Consider the following 15,445-nt stretch of genomic DNA (forward strand, 5'->3'; position numbering starts at 1 on the left):
CTGGTCCCACAGCACTGCTGTGTGCCTGAGAAGTGGGCCTGGGGAGCAGGAAAGAGCCCCCTCCCTCTCAAACACACATACCAGATGACCCTCTGAGGCCATGCTCTCAAAATCTACCCCTGCCTCATCTTCTCAGGGAAGGTGGGATGTGTCCAGGGAGGCTTAAATGACAAGAGGGACATCCTTCATTTACCTATAGCTTCTCTACCCCAATTCACAACCACTGCCCTGCCCAGGGTGGCTATGGCCCAGGTCCATGGTCCTGTGCTGGTGTCTCTGCCCTATCTGGGACACTGAGGCCTGGATTTGTGACTTTGTCCCCTTCTCTGCCCCCAGAGTTCAGATCCCAGGGGTGTCTGACACCTCTCTGCCCTGAGCGATGCCAAGGGGTGTCTCCCAATTAGTGGGACAACAGTGTCAGTAGGGACAGGAAACAGTTTTAGCTGGGATCCCTTGAGCCTGTCCAGCTGGGCAGAGCAGCCTCCTCCATTCCTCCATAAGGCTGTGGGTCACTAGGAAGAGGCCTTACTTCTAAGGTGGGGTTAGAGAGCTCTAGCCCAAGCCCCTGCACTTGGATTGGGCCCCTGGCACATTGTCCTTTCCAGGGAAGCCAGCAGTGCTCTCAGGCCTGGCTCATTCCTCCCCGACTTGGTTAATAAGGGCCTGAGTTAGCATTTCCCCACCAAAACCCCACATTCATCAAGCACCTCTCACACCCATAACTCCTCTTCCACCGTCTAATCTGAGACCTAAGACCCTGAAGGGAAACCAGACAAAATGGATACACTATTCCCATTCTGTAGATGAGGAATCTATAGAGAGGCTAGAAAGATGGTGAAGCCAAACAGAAAGATGGTGAAGCCAAACAGCAAGCTGGTGACCCAGCAGAGCAGGTGAGGCCCTGTCCACAGAACAACCAGCCCTCCACTTGCCACCCGGAACTGGGCTGAGAAACACCAACCAAAGCACAGCAGGGAATGTGCAGGTAGACACTGGTGACATAGCAGAGATAAAGGGCTGTGCTGTGCGGTCATACCCACGGATCTGACCTGACTATATGAGTTAGGGTAAGCGCGTGCCTACGCTCCCTACCCCATTCCCCTGCAGATGCCTCAGATTTACCTTGACCTTGGGGTGGGGTCAAGGATCAGCTACAGGAAGCCACCAGCCACTCAAGGTTTCTAAAAACAGTCCTTGGAGCAGGCCAGAAAGGTGGCTGTGGGAACTGCTGACTCATCACCTTCCCATCCCGGGCCAATGACCTGAGGGAGGTGCAGTTCCCGGGCCGCCCAGCTGCCCCTCGCGTGCTGGCCTGCTTCCTGTCCTCCCAAACCCAGCTCTGCACTGGCACACAAGCTGGGCTGGCCAGTCTCTCCAACACAAATATCAAGTGTGGGGCCCTCTCTGAGCAGCACAGGGGAGAGGGCAGAGGGGAAAGGCCACATCTGGGTTCAAAATCCTGACTCCAGCATCCACTAGCGGGTTACCTGGGGCATGTCTTATCACCTCTCTGAGCTTAACACTCCGTATCTGGAAAACAAGAGTCATGGCTTCACTGTGTTGGCGCGTCGATTACAAAAAAATGATGAACAGCTCAGTGCTGGGCACATGGGGCGTGTTCCAGAAACGAGCACTGGGAAGGAAAATAAATGTGACTATTATTGCTCTGTGAATAGAACAAGGGGCTTGGGGAGGACACCTCCATTCTGAGGGTCTGTGTCTGCTGCATGTGGCCTCCAGAGCTGGGGAGCTGGGCTAGGTGTTGACAGCAATGCCCTCCTTCCATTTACCACCTCCTGGGCATGGGCCAGTCCCTCCGGCTCAGCAGTTCACCCCCCTGTGCCTTTGCAGGTGCCTTCCTGCAGCTCACTCTTACTTCAATCAGGTTTCACCTGAATGTCCCCTCCTGAAAGAGGCCATGCCACCTGGAATATTAAGCCTCCGTCCCGCTCCCGCTCCTCACCTCACTGCACTCATCACTACCTGACATTCTACTAGGCATCTGTTTCTCTGGCTTCCTAGTTATCTACCCTAAATAGATCATGAGCCCTACAAGGAGAGACTCATGGATCCCTTAATCACAGAACAGAACCTAGCTCTAGTATGTGCTCAAGTATTTGCCAATGAATGACTGAGTCTCCAAGACGTGTGCCTTCCAAGGCTGGACGGTGGGCTCTAGCTCCACTGGAGAAGGCAGGGAGCCCAGACAGGTGCAGGCACAGTGCGGGTTGATGACTGTTTCCAGGCCCCGGGGTCTCCTCCCTACCCTACCTGTTTGCAAGCCCAAAGCCCCCAGAGGTTCTAGCCCTGGTGAGTCAGTTCCCCTGCGGACTCTGGAACCATCAGGATTCCAGAGGAAGCAGGCAGGTGGGTGGCGGGGGTGGGGGGTAGGAGCTGAGGGATACCAGGGTGTTTGAAGGCCTGATGGCCCCAGCTCTCCCCATGCATTGCTGCTGATTTCCTGCCCTTCCAGCAGTGGGAAGGAAGGATGCTCTGATCCATGAGGCTCTTTAGTCCTTGTGGCTGCCAGTCCTGTTCTCCTGGACACATCTGCCTGCCCTGGGCCCCCTTGCCGGGGGCTCTAAGGACAAGTCTCACCACCGCCAATACCGCCAGACTCCTACCTCCCTGGGAGGAAGCTGGCTCCTGACCCTTGTGCCACATTTGTCTCTCTAGGTTACACCTGTATCCTTGAACACAGTTGGGGCTGACACTACCCTACCTCTTGCCTCTCAGAATGCCCCTGACAACCTAGCAAATTCCCCAACCCAGGGGCCTCCTCACCTGCTCTTCCCTCCTCCCTCTCCCCCTGTGCCTGTGGCTGGCAGCTTAGGGTAATAAGTAACTGCCATCCTTGAGGGCTGAGGTTCTGATAAGAGATTATTAAGCCTACCCATTTATTACAGTTTGTTTAAGATTATCAAGTGGTTAAACTGTAAACCTCTTCATTAATTAAAAAAGAAAAGCCTATGAGGAACCAGGATGGGATTAATCCTGTACCAGGGGTGGGGCCACTGGGTTTCTCTACCCCTATGAAGTAAGCTCCCTGCCTGCTTAATACACAACATTCCCCTTCCCACCCAAACCGGGCCCCCAGGGAGCTCATTCAAGGAGCTGGTTTTCTCATCCACCCACGGCCTCTGAGCATGATCTTGCCCCCATCTTTCTTCTCAAAGCCCCCTGCAGGATCCTCCTGAGAGCCAACCACCTGTCCCGAAATCCTTCCTTATTGTCTGACTCTAACCTAAATCCCTCCGGCTGCAGTCCAAGCCCATTTCCTTTGGTTCAGTCTGCGTCTGAGACAGACAACAGCTGGCCTCCATCCTCTCTGGAATAAATTGTATAAGAAACTACCAGCAAACCAGCACAGACATCTTGGGATGGATGGCATTCTGTGCAGGGGGGGAGGGGGCTTTCTGCCATGATGACCCCCAGATCCTGAACGCAAACCCCACCAGAAGACTGAGTCACAATTAGAGACAAGAGCAAGATCTCGATGCCCAACAACCTCAAAATCACTGGGCAAGATGCAAAAGGAGGCTGGGCACAGTGGCTCATGCCTATAATCCCAGCACTTTGGGAGGCCGAAACTGGCAGATCATCTGAGGTCAGGAGTTTGAGACCAGCCTGACCAACATGGTGAAACCCCATCTCTACTAAAAATGCAAAAATTAGCTGGGCATGGTGGTGCATGCCTGTGGTCCCAGCTACTCAGGAGGCTGAAGCAGGGAGAAGTGCTGGAACCCGGGAGATGGAGGTTGCAGTGAGCTGAGATCACACCACTGTACTCCAGCCTGGGTGACAGAGAGAGATTCAGTCTCAAAAAAAAAAGCAAAAGGAGTATTTAGGAGTATTACCCTAAAGTTCAGGCTCCCTGACTCAGATCTCAGGCCACACATCAGTTACCCCAGGGGCTCTGGTCACCAAGGCCCCCATTTGGAAACCACAGGGTTGCAATTCAAAGACGATCCCCAAATAGTGTAGGAAAGAAGAGGGAGCCTATACATGTGGCTGCTATCCCCTGACCATGCACTACCCCTGCCCTCACCATCCAGGTATGCCAGGAAGCAGACAGGCCAGCCAGGCACAGCTGTCCTGCCTCTTCTGCCCTGTATGCATTGCCCCCGCCCACCATCCATCCCCAGCCAACTGGGGCGTGGGACGTGACTGGGATTAAGAAACAGAGCCATTTTGTGCTGAAGGTATGGAAAAATACTGCCAGGCCCTCCTAGTACAGAGAGGCTAGGCTGAGGTGAGGGATGGGGTGGGGGTTGGAAAAACCTCCAACTCCCCTAACCTGGGGCCCAGGATGAGAGGCCAGGCAACAGGAAATGGAAATTCTTCACTCTGAGACATAGCCCCATTGTGAAATGCGAGAGGCAGAAGGAACGAGGGCCATGCCTCAGACACACACACATCCTTTCTCTCCTCCACAAGGGCTGGGATTTTAAGCACAGACGTTTCCAAGCCTGTTTAACCCCTAACACCCAACCAGGCTCTGGCAAGGCCTCAGCCTTCCTGGTGGAGTGAAAGAACATTTGACAGATGAGCCTGTATAGCATTGGCTACTCCCTAGCCTGGAGTCATGACTGCGCTTTCTTCACCTGTAAAACGGGAACGATGCCACCTCCTCATCAATTCTCAAGGTTATGGATCAAAAGGCTCGATAGAGAGCAGGAAGGCTGGTGCATAGGCAAGTTAGAGATGCTCCCGATGCATGAACTTGTTTACAAACGTCCAGGGTTGTGGGGTAAGAGTGCTTTGTATGTGGCCGGGAGGATATAATGAAAGAAGGGAAAGTAATGTGCCAGGTTTCTAAGTCAGGCAGGGGAGCAGGCCCTATGCCTCACACAGCTGCATCCTGTCCCCCTGTGAACTGTTTTCAGTGAGTGGTAACAGGGGCAGCCACTTGTCAGACTTGCCCAGGGAGGTCCGTCTCCCCTCAAGCCTGCTGAAGCAGAGCCCTTCATCCCGGGCTGCTGAGAGCTAAACAACTGACCAAGCAGTGGACTGCCAGGACACAGTCCCTTGGCCCTCTCCCCATGTGTAAAATTAGGCTCCTGGCTACTTCCCAGGAAGAGTAGGGGAACAGGAGGGCAAGGTGGTAGAACAGGGGGTTCTCGTCACCTTCACTCCCCCTAGGGACCCCTGGGCCATGCCCCTCTTTGGAGGCACAAAAATGTAGCTGGGCACACCTGCTATAAATGCCAGATCTAGCCAGGCACCAGCTCCCCGACCCATGCACAGGGCAACCCACCCAACCTATTAACCCAACAACGATGGGGCCAGAGTCATGGACAAACTTCTGTTGCTCAATGAAGCTCAAACCAGGGTCGACTGATTCATCAAGTGTTTGCTGAACACCAACCATGTGCCCAGGCACTGGGCAAAATAAAGGAAGTGCAAGACACAGACCCTGCTCAGGAGGATCTCATAGTTTAACAAGAGACAGGCAGGAGTCGGGAAAGAGGGACATGACAGCAGAAGATGGCAGAGAAAGCAGCCAACAAACCAACAGCGAGGCCAGGACAGTCCCAGGGGCTCACTCCATGCTCCTTCAAGCCCAAGCAATGGAGCATGAAGCAGAGCAAGAAGCCAAAACACAGATGGGGAACTGAGGCTCAAAAGACATGAATGAACAAGGACCAGAGCAATTTCCCAGTCAGGTGTTCCACCCATCCTAAAAACAGTGCCCGCCCCTCCTCCCCTTCCCCTACTCCACCTTTCCTGGCCCGGGACCCCCACCATGGGCCCTAAAAAAACCTGGAAAACTGAAAATTTTAGCCGTCCCCTTCTTCCATTCCTTCTAGATTTGTGGTGGGAAGATAGTTTTCACCCTAAGAAGAGAAATACCTGCTTAGCTGGTAAAATCACCTGATCAGTGTACATTATGAACCATAAGAGCTGAGGGATACTTGGTGCTTCCCCGCAGAGTGGGGAGGCTGGGCTGGAGCAGGCCATTAGAAGGAATCTGGAGACTATGAGCAACAAGTCAGAGATCAATGAAAAAGGATTCTCTTTCTACAGCCTGGTCCACCTCCAAGGGAGCCACTGCTGAACAATCTGAGTCCACGAGGACTGACCTGGCAAGGCAATCACACGGCTTGCACAAACACATGCTTTCTGTCAGCTGGTCCAGGGGGTGCGCTCGCCTCGGCTGTGCTTACAAGTTTTCCAGTGGATAGGACCAGAGCAGAAATGAAAGCTGACGAGGCGCAGAGGGAGGCCAGATGTGGCATTAGAAACCTCGGGTTCTGGCCCAATACTCTAGTACTGCCCAAGAGAACTCTCCGATGATGGAAATGCTCTGTATTTGCGCAGTCCCCACTGGCTACGGAGCACTAGAAATGTAGCCAGTGACTGGAGAACTAAAATTGAATTTTATTAGTTTTAATTTTAAATTAAGCAGGCAGGCTGGGTGCGGTGGCTCATGCCTATAATCCCAGCACTTTGGGAGGCCAACGTGGGTAGATCACATGAGGTCAGGAGTTCAAGACCAGCCTGACCAACATGGTGAAACCCCGTCTCTACTAAAAATACAAAAATTAGCTGGGCATGGTGGTGAATGCCTATAGTCCCAGCTACTCTGGAGGTTGAGGCAAGAGAATCTCTTGAACCCAGGAGACGGAGGTTGCAGTGAGCTGAGATCGTACCATTGCATTCCAGCCTGGACAACAAGAGCAAAACTCTGTCTCAAAAAGAAAAAAAGAAAAGAAAAAATTAAATTAAGCAGGCAGGCCAGGCACGGCGGCTCAGGCCTGTAATCCCAGCACTTTGGGAGGCTGAGGTAGGCAGATCACTTGGAAGTCAGGAGTTCAAGACCAGCCTAGCCAACATGGTGAAACCCCGTCTCTACAAAACATACAAAAATTAGCCAGGTGTGGTCGTGCATGCCTGTAATCCCAGCTACTCAGGAGGCTTGAGGCAGGATAATGGCTTGAACCCAGGAAGCAGAGGTAGCAGTGTGCCAAGATGGCACCACTGCACTCCAGCCTGGGTGACAGAGAGAGATTCTGTCTCAAAAAATAAATAAGTAAGCAGGCGTAATGATTAGTAATATCAAGTCAAAAAGGTAAAATTGCATAGCGGCATGTGGGTAGTGACTACCATACTAGTACCAAGACTGTATCAAGCACATCCTACCTGCAGCCTCCTTTGGCAGAGCCTGCCTCCCCTGGACCCTCAGGATGACCCATGCCATGGGCCACTGTCCATAGCACATTCCTGACTTTGGATTACAAACAGTCCTGTGCTGTTTCAAGTCTTGCCTGTGCTTGTGTTTTTCGTTCATCTGAAGGACAGGGCAAGTCTTGGGCCCCCACGGGACCGGGTGGAGCTGAGAGCACAGTGGGTCCAAGGCTGCACTTGTCCATGGGCCTCTGCAGGACTCCCCTCCCAGACCACACCCCCACCACCTTTGTGTGGGAAATGGATCAACACTGGAAACAGCCGGATGGGTGTCCCTGGCCCTGCCACACTCTCTTCTTGGTGACTCTCTGTCCTGGTATACTACCTCCAACTTGGTCTGCAGACCAAAGGCTCACCTAGTTTCTCTTGTCCTTCTCCTCAAAGCATTCCACAGCACTGCTGCCAAGGAAGCTAGCAGTCTGCTAGCTAAATTTAAAGACTCAAAAGACAAGAACGAACTAGGCTCGAAAGACATGAATGAACTAGGACCAGAGCATCTCCCAGTCAGGTGTTCAATACAGTCCCCGGGAACCAATCCAGGTTGGTATCCTTGGAGGGGGATTGGTTCCAAGACCCCCTGTGGATACCCAGATCTGCAGTGCTCAAGTCCCACAGTCAGTCCTTTGGAGCCCACAGATACGAAGGGTCAACTATACACTGTTAGTGATTACAAAAGTGATACTGGTTTTCAGAGTATGTTCTGCTAAAACCAGATGTTTGTATACCTCACACATTAAAAATAACCAGTGTGGAAGTGGGTAATGGTACATGCATGTATTTTATCCCTTAAAAAATTGAGTTATTTGTTATAAAAGCAATACAACCACATTACAGAAAATGTGAGAGGCAGAGAAAGAAAAAGTCATCAATAATCCTGTCTCCCCAACTCGGCCCTGCCTGGCTTCTGTTTTTAAATTGAGTTTCTATGACGCAATATTAACGGAGAGAACCACACACTTTAACTTGCATCTTCCTGCTTTCCTCACCCTCCTCATCTTGATTTTGTATAACTTGAAGTCTGGTTCATGCCTCAGGCCCACTTTGAGAAACACCAAATGGAAGCACCAGGTCCCTATTCCAGCCTGTCTAAGGGTCTCCCATGCCACAGGCCAGAGCCCACCAGTTCAATAAGCACAGATTAAATTGTGTGCAGAGCAGTGGGGAAGAGGGGTGTAAGAATGTGTATACACGGGTGGGAAGCCGGCCTCAGGCAGCTTAGAGTCTAGGGAAAATTTTAAGATGTGTACACAGGCTGGGTGTGGTGGCTCACACCTATAATCCCAGCATTTTGGGAGGCTGAGGTGGGCGGATCATGAGGTTAGAAGTTCCAGACCAGTCTGGTCAACATAGTGAAACCCCATTTTCCAGACCAGCCTGGCCAACATAGTGAAACCCCGTTTCTACTAAAAACACAAAAAATTAGCCGGGTGTGGTGGTGTGGGCCTGTAATCCCAGCTACTCAGGAGACTGAGGCAGGAGAATTGCGTGAACCCAGGAGGTGGAGGTTGCAGTGAGCCGAGATCGCACCACTGCACTCCAGCCTGGGTGATGGTGTGAGACTCTGTCTCAAAAAAAAAAAGATGTGTACACAATAACCCCAACGGTGGGTAGGTGGAGATGGAGGGTTTGACCATATGCAGCAGCTCTCAGTCTCAGAGCATTCCAAAAAGAGAGGCTGTGCCAAAACTGAGTTCTGTGAACTCTGAATTTCCAGTGTGGTTGGTGGTGACAGGAACCTTCTAGAACAGGACCCAAAAGTACCTGCCTCGGCTGTGGGAGCCTGCCCTGGGTTTAGATAGACATGCTCCCAGAGTGATGCTGACACATGCTTTCACCAGGCAACCTACTGACCTGTCCAAACAGAGCAGAGTGTCCCCAGCTAGGAGGGCACTGCATGGATGACGGGCAGAGGGGTATGGTCAGCACCAGCACATCTGCTGGCTTGGGGGAGAATCTGGCCCGGCAGGACACCCACTGCAGGGGCTAGTGACAGTTTTCCAGATTGTTTCCCAGGAGGTGGGCCCAGCTGAGGGGCAGAGGAGGGCTCTGTTGGTGCTGCCTCTGGGCTTGGGGGCTGTTGGGAGACAGGACAAAGGAGAGAGAGAAACACGGCTTCATGGTTCAGGACATTCATTAATAATTACCCTCATGCTTGGTGCTAGGTTTCGGATCCAATCAGGTAAAAACCGAGGGCTTGTAGGGAGGGAGGGCAGAGAAGGGTGCAGACCAGGCAATAGTCCCCGTGCAATGTCCTCTGACACGGGGCAGGGGAGCCTAGAGAGCAATGCAGCTAGAAAGGAGGCAACCCCCAGGCCAGGGTCAGGGGAGCCACCTAAACAGCCCAAGCCTACAGGAACTTTTCTACCTTGAAGCACACAGGCCCTCACAATATGCCCCAACCCCACTCAATTCATAATATGCATTGCATGGTGATACCTTCCCACCAACCCCAAAGGCAGAAATGATGTCCAGTACTTCATTCCCACAACCCTTAATCCAGCACTGGGCATACAGCGGGCACTAAGTGTTTAATTGGCCTTATTGAACAAGTGCTTAGCTCAGAGAGGTGCAGTGACCTGGCCTAAACACACAGCAAGTCAGCAGAGCTGGCCCAGGACTCAGCTGTCTTCTAGTCTCCCAACTGTGGGTGAGTCCAACTCTCTGGGCCATGCATTTGGGTGGATTGCAGGGCTGAGGCTAGAGTCTGGAAGATGGGGGAGGTGAGGTGTTGAAAAGCTGTTAATCAGGACACCCTCCCTTTTCCTGCTAACCCGGGGGGTGCTGACAAGACACTACTGCCTCGGCTCACCCCACTTCGCCCACTCAGCACTTATCCCCTTGGCGAGAGGCAGCCCTTCCACTCGCTGCTCTGAAGGGGGCAGGGATGCTGAGAAGAGAAGGGCACCCTTCCAAAGCTAACACTGTCAGGATGCATTCCACTGCCCGGGAGGTGAGAATTTTATTTGAACAGGAGTGATAGGGAAGGTAGGGGATGGACGTCTTTCTCCTCCAGAGAGTCTGTGAATAGGTGCCTACCTCCATCCCGCACTGGGGGCATGAGAGGAGCAGGAACCTTGCATTAGACACAAAGGGTACCCAAGCCAAAATAAACATCCATAAAGGGCCCCGCCCTGAGGTCCTTGGCATGCTACAGAATAACCTGTTCCAAGCCATGTGGGCAAGACTAAAGCGATACCCTCCCAAGGTGCAGACCACAGTCCAGCTAGAGGTTAACCCTAGGGAAACCAAATGAGTGGATGTGACACAGCATGGGTTTAGCTGACTGGCAGGTCAGACAGAAACACAGCTAAGAGGCAATTCTATCTCCCTTACGTGATTCCTCCTTGGGGGTTTTAGTCTCAGGGTCCCCTGACCACAAACCTGTCAAGCAGCAGGCGTTAGAAGCAGTAAACAAAAGTCAGGGGCCTCTTAGGGCTGTCAGGATAGTCGTAGGGGGAGGGGCTGGGGATTGAGTTAACAACCCCACCTCTGAGCTGTGGCAGCCACTTATATAGCCAAAATGTCAAACAAAACTATATATGGGGCCGGGCGTGGTGGCTCACGCCTGTAATCCCAGTACCTTGGGAGGCCAAGGCGGGCAGATCACCTGAGGTCAGGAGTTGGAGACCGGCCTGGCTAACATGGCGAAACCCTGTCTCTACTAAAAATACAAAAAAATTTGCAGGGTGTGGTGGTGCATGCCTGTAATCCCAGCTACTCAGGAGGCTGAAACTGGAGAATCGCTTGAACCTGGGAGGTGGAGGTTGCAGTGAGCTGAGATCGTACCACTGCACCCCAGCCTGGGCGACAGAGTGAGACTCCATCTCAAAACAAAACTAAACAAAACAAAAACAAAAAAACTATATATGGTCAATGTGGTCAGAAAACAGCAGTACTTTGGTGTCAGAACCTGGAAGACTGAACAGTGCAGAGCTGGGCAGCAAAGGGGCCAGCTAACACGCGCACGGGGCACTTCTTGGGTGCTGGGAGTGATGGGGTGTGTGTGGAAAACCCAGTCTCAAGGAGCAGCTTGTAGCCTAGCAAGATTCGAAAGACTGGCAGCAATTTAGGATACGGCAGCCTCTACTGCAGCTGCAGAGCTCTGGCTCTGGACTCAGAGGGCCTGGGTTCAGGCCACTAACTAGCTATGTGACCTCCACTAAGTTACTTACCCTCTGCCTCAGTTGCCTTGCAAAATTAGGTTCCCCACAGTGCCTGTCACTTATCATTGTTGGGAAGTCGACATGATGTAGGCCACGGCAGCTCCCGTTACGGCTGTCATGCGGGGCTGGTGTGACTATCCTTGCTACCACCTCCCAAAGTCCTTTCTGTCATCAGTGGATACGAACGTTGAGTTCTTTGTAAAAGTTGAAACTCACTGCCGGGCGCGGTGGTGGCTCACACCCCTAATCCCAGCACTTTGGGAGGCTGAGGCGGGCAGATCACCTGAGGTCAAGAGTTCGAGAACCGCCTGACCAACATGGAGAAACCCCGTCTCTACTAAAAATACAAACTTAGCTGGGTGTGGTGGCACATGCCTGTAATCCCAGCTACTCGGAGGCTGAGGTGGGAGAATCGCTTGAATCCGGGAGGCGGAGGTTGCAGTGAGCCGAGATCATGCCATTGCTCTCCAGCCTGGGCAACAAGAGCAAAACTCCATCAAAAAAAAAAAAAAAAAAAAAAAAAGAAAGAAAAGAAAAAGAAACTGGCTATTAGTGTGCAGGGGTGTGGAATGCCTCTCCTCTGTTAGGAGCTGGCCCCTGGAGTTTCCTGTCTGTAGTGTGGCTGACTGGGATCAACGGCAGGGGTCCAGAAAGGCGAGATCACACAAGCAGCAGAGTCCAAATCACTCAGGGCCACAGCCAGGGCTTTGGCTTAGTCTAAGGGCAAAGGAGGAGATGCTGGCGGGTCTTCTGAGTTTTGAGATCACGATCTCACTGTCAGGATCCTTGACTGCTGGAGCAGTGATCTGATGGGAGCCCTACTAGGACACGTGGCAATCCCCTTTCAGCTCATCTCTTCTTTGGGGCACTGCTTCCAAGAAGCCTTCCCTAATTGCCCCCACTTAGCTCTAATTGCTCTTTTATTGTACTTCCCCCACCCCTGGTGAGCAGAGTAACCTTGGGCAAGTTACATAACCTCCAAAGGTCTGGGCCTTGACTCAGGAGGCTGGAGGCCAGTTAAATAACCACTAAGCTCCCTCCAGCCTCACATTTTATGATTTGCCGCCACGAGAAATGCCCAGAGCGTGAGCCACCCCCTGCCAACCTCCAAGACAGGCTGGAGAAACCAGCCAACAGCTCCTTGGGCGCAGACGCAGGAGGAGCAAAGTCCAGGGCTGGAGAGACTCCCTGGGGAGCAGGGAGGCATCGGATCCTTTCTGCCTGAGGCCCTGGCTGGCCCAGAAAAACATCCTCCTTTCCCAGCCTGGGGTTCAACACAATTTCAACTTTTGCCTCTTATCTGGAAAACTAGTGGGAGGAGAAGCTGGTGCTCAAGATCACAGGAACGGGTGTGTTGGGGCAGGTTAGGAAATCAGGTAGGTCAGTTTAGTGTAAGTAGAAGGAGTCTGCACCCCAAAATACCATCAAGAGCTTTTTTGACTTACAGGCCTTTTTTTTTTTTTTTTTTGAGATGGAGTCTAGCTTTGTCACCCAAGCTGGAGTGTAGAGGCGCGATTTTGGCTCACTGCCACCTCCGCCTCCCAGGTTCAAGCGATTCTCCTGCCTCAGCCTCCTGAGTAGCTGGGAGTACAGGTGCCCACCACCACGTCCAGCTAATTTTTGTATTTTTAGTAGAGAGAGGGTTTCACTGTGTTGGCCAGGCTGGTCTTGAACTCCTGACCTTGTGATCCACCCGCCTAGGCCTCCCGAAGTGGTGGGATTATAAGCATGAGCCACCACGCCCAGCCTATGGGCCATTTTAAAAGGGATTAGAAATAAAGTGAGAATGACCCAGAGAAGAAAGGCCTGGATCTGGGTAGGCCGTGTTGTTAGAGTAATCTGAACTTGGTTCTAGAGACTGTTCTGCCCCCAGCTAATCCTCACCAGGCCTTGGTGTCCCCATCTAGTGAATGGGATGGCATCCATTTGGCTGCCAGACCTCCCAGAGTCAGGCCCACAAAAGTCATAGAAGGGAGGTCTCAGAAGAATGGGTCCGCAGAGACCCATGGTAAGGGCAGGTTGGGATGCACACGAGCACAGTCTGTGTAGCTGCAAGCCTCTTAGAGGACTGGGTGGTGTACCTGGTGCTGCTGGCAACACCCTGCAAATACTTCTGCTCCTTCCCCCTGGAGTGGTGCAGGCTCCAGTCATGCCAAAGGTGCCCCCAGCTAGGGAACTGCCCTTCTCCACTGCAAACAGTGTGGGCCTCCCCGCCAACTGCACTTCTCAGAAGCCTCTGAAAATTAAAGAAGTCTTCACAAGGAAGGGTCAAGGGGATGTTTTTCTCCTGCCCCAGCTCGTCCAACTTGCCCTCTTGGTTTCCACAGAGAGGCAGGGACCAGGGCTGATTCTCTTGCAGCAGTCCTTGAACAGGTCTGGACACACAGTATGTGCTTAGTAAAATATCTGCTGAATGAGGAGCTGGATGGTTTGCTCTGTCTCAAGTTCCTTGAAAGCAAAAACCACGGCTGCCCTCCAGCACCAAGGGCAGACCTGCTCAGTGTACTCTTGCTGACCTCTGCTGCCTGGGCCTTATTTCACAGGGGAAAGGAATTCGGGAAAAGTTGATGGAACAAGGGATGGGGGATAGGGGAAGAAGAAGAGGGGGCTCCTGGAGATAAACAGACTCAGGCAGGGAGAGCAGTTTATTCTGTAAAGTCCCTCCCTCAAAGGGGAGAGGATAACAATAAGCTGGTCTTGAAGGCTGCCTCGAGCTGGAAGCTGCACTGAGTGAGCTTTACAGGCATTTCCTCTTGCGAGGGGGGTATAATTAGTTCCATTTTCAGATGATGCAATGTGCTCAAGGCCTCACAATTTGTAAAGGCAGAGAGGTGGTATTAAATCCCAGGTGTGACTTGAATACCTGTCCTTAACCAGGTTCCACTCCAGCCTGGGCAACAGAGTGAGACTCTGTTTCAAAAAATAATAATAATAAAAATAAAATAATGGCACCCCTACCCCTTCCATGACTTAGAGCCTGTGAGACCAAGGACCAGAGTCTGGGCCTGGGGCACCTGGCTTCATTCACTCTGCTGTGACCTTGCAAGAGGCTTGGCTGCACTGACTAGACTTCCAACCAAAAGGGCCACACAGCTTTTGGCATCCCCCTGAGCTGAGCACAGTGCTGGACAGACGGACACAACAAACTGAGCAAGACTGAAATCCACACACTCACTGAGCATCCTGAGAGCTAGGCCTGGCAACACAGGCCCAGGGCTGGGAAGACATGGCCACTGCCCACGAAGGTTGCAAATGGTCTAGCTGGACCTAACTAGCACTCCAAGCCTTTCTGAATGAATGGACGAGTCCAGAGAGGGAAAATATGGCCAGGGGCACACAGCATAAACCGGAGTACAGGTAAAAGTAGAACACAGGTTAGAATCAGTTTTCTGCTACACAGTAGTTCAGATGAGGGTTCCTCATCCCTAGCCCCAAGCACAGAAGCACTCAGACAAATGGAAGGGGGCTCTGCTGTGTCCTCCCCACCCAGTGTGGCCAACAAGGCCCCTGGCAGCCCTGCAGGACTGGAGACTACACCGTTGAACAAAGGGGGTCCTGCTACCAGCTGCACAGCTTCTCTCCCAGACTCAGGGGGCAAGCATCCCCGCTCATAGCAGGGGCCCAGCTAAGCAGCTGCAGCCAGATTACAGTGGGGCACGGGAGGTGACAACAGCCAGAAGTACACAGCCCTGCCTAAATATTTCAGCAGGAAACCCAAATATTTAGATGGAGGAGAGGAAAAAGAATGCACATTTCAAAGCCAATCAAAGATGAGAGGGGAGGTGGGTGGTGTCTGCCTCGAGTGAGGGCCCAGCTCTGATCCCAGACCCTGGGTAACCATCATCCCAGGAGAATACCCATGAGACCATCTGGACGCAGGAATTCTCCAGAAAATTTTTAACCAAGGCCTGGGACAAGCCAGGACTGAGCAGAGCCCTGCTAGAAGAGAGAAAGAAGGAAACCGTCCCTATTTTTAGGTGTTGACCATCAACTGTTTTAGGTGGTTAATTTGCAGGACACAGAAAACAGTGGGTGACTGACTCCAGTAGGAGAAACTTGATGGGTTTTATCATGTTCCCTTGTCCCCATCTCCA

General features: G+C 52.3%; 1 protein-coding gene across 2 annotated transcripts in view, besides 3 other annotated features; it reads right to left on the reverse strand.

Annotated features, from left to right (window-relative positions):
• The window catches only part of KCNK5 (potassium two pore domain channel subfamily K member 5), a 40,505-nt gene that overhangs the window by 16,299 nt on the left and 8,761 nt on the right, over positions 1 to 15,445 (reverse strand). The window lies entirely within an intron of this gene.
• Positions 3,664 to 4,621: an enhancer, noted in NCBI's record as "H3K4me1 hESC enhancer chr6:39176709-39177666 (GRCh37/hg19 assembly coordinates)". NCBI's record gives its function as "activates a minimal SCP1, AML or CMV promoter by ChIP-STARR-seq in primed H9 embryonic stem cells {active_cell/tissue: H9 hESC(primed)}" and the evidence as "EXISTENCE:reporter gene assay evidence [ECO:0000049][PMID:30033119]".
• Positions 4,650 to 5,190: an enhancer, noted in NCBI's record as "H3K27ac-H3K4me1 hESC enhancer chr6:39177695-39178235 (GRCh37/hg19 assembly coordinates)". NCBI's record gives its function as "activates a minimal SCP1, AML or CMV promoter by ChIP-STARR-seq in naive H9 embryonic stem cells {active_cell/tissue: H9 hESC(naive)}" and the evidence as "EXISTENCE:reporter gene assay evidence [ECO:0000049][PMID:30033119]".
• Positions 8,808 to 8,977: an enhancer, noted in NCBI's record as "experimental_91581 CRE fragment used in MPRA reporter constructs". NCBI's record gives its function as "activates a minimal promoter by MPRAs in K562 erythroleukemia cells, with activity observed for both the introgressed and non-introgressed 6:39181938 variant alleles {active_cell/tissue: K562}" and the evidence as "EXISTENCE:reporter gene assay evidence [ECO:0000049][PMID:34662402]".

Source organism: Homo sapiens, chromosome 6 (genome assembly GCF_000001405.40).
Source record: "Homo sapiens chromosome 6, GRCh38.p14 Primary Assembly".
Taxonomy (NCBI): domain Eukaryota; kingdom Metazoa; phylum Chordata; class Mammalia; order Primates; family Hominidae; genus Homo; species Homo sapiens.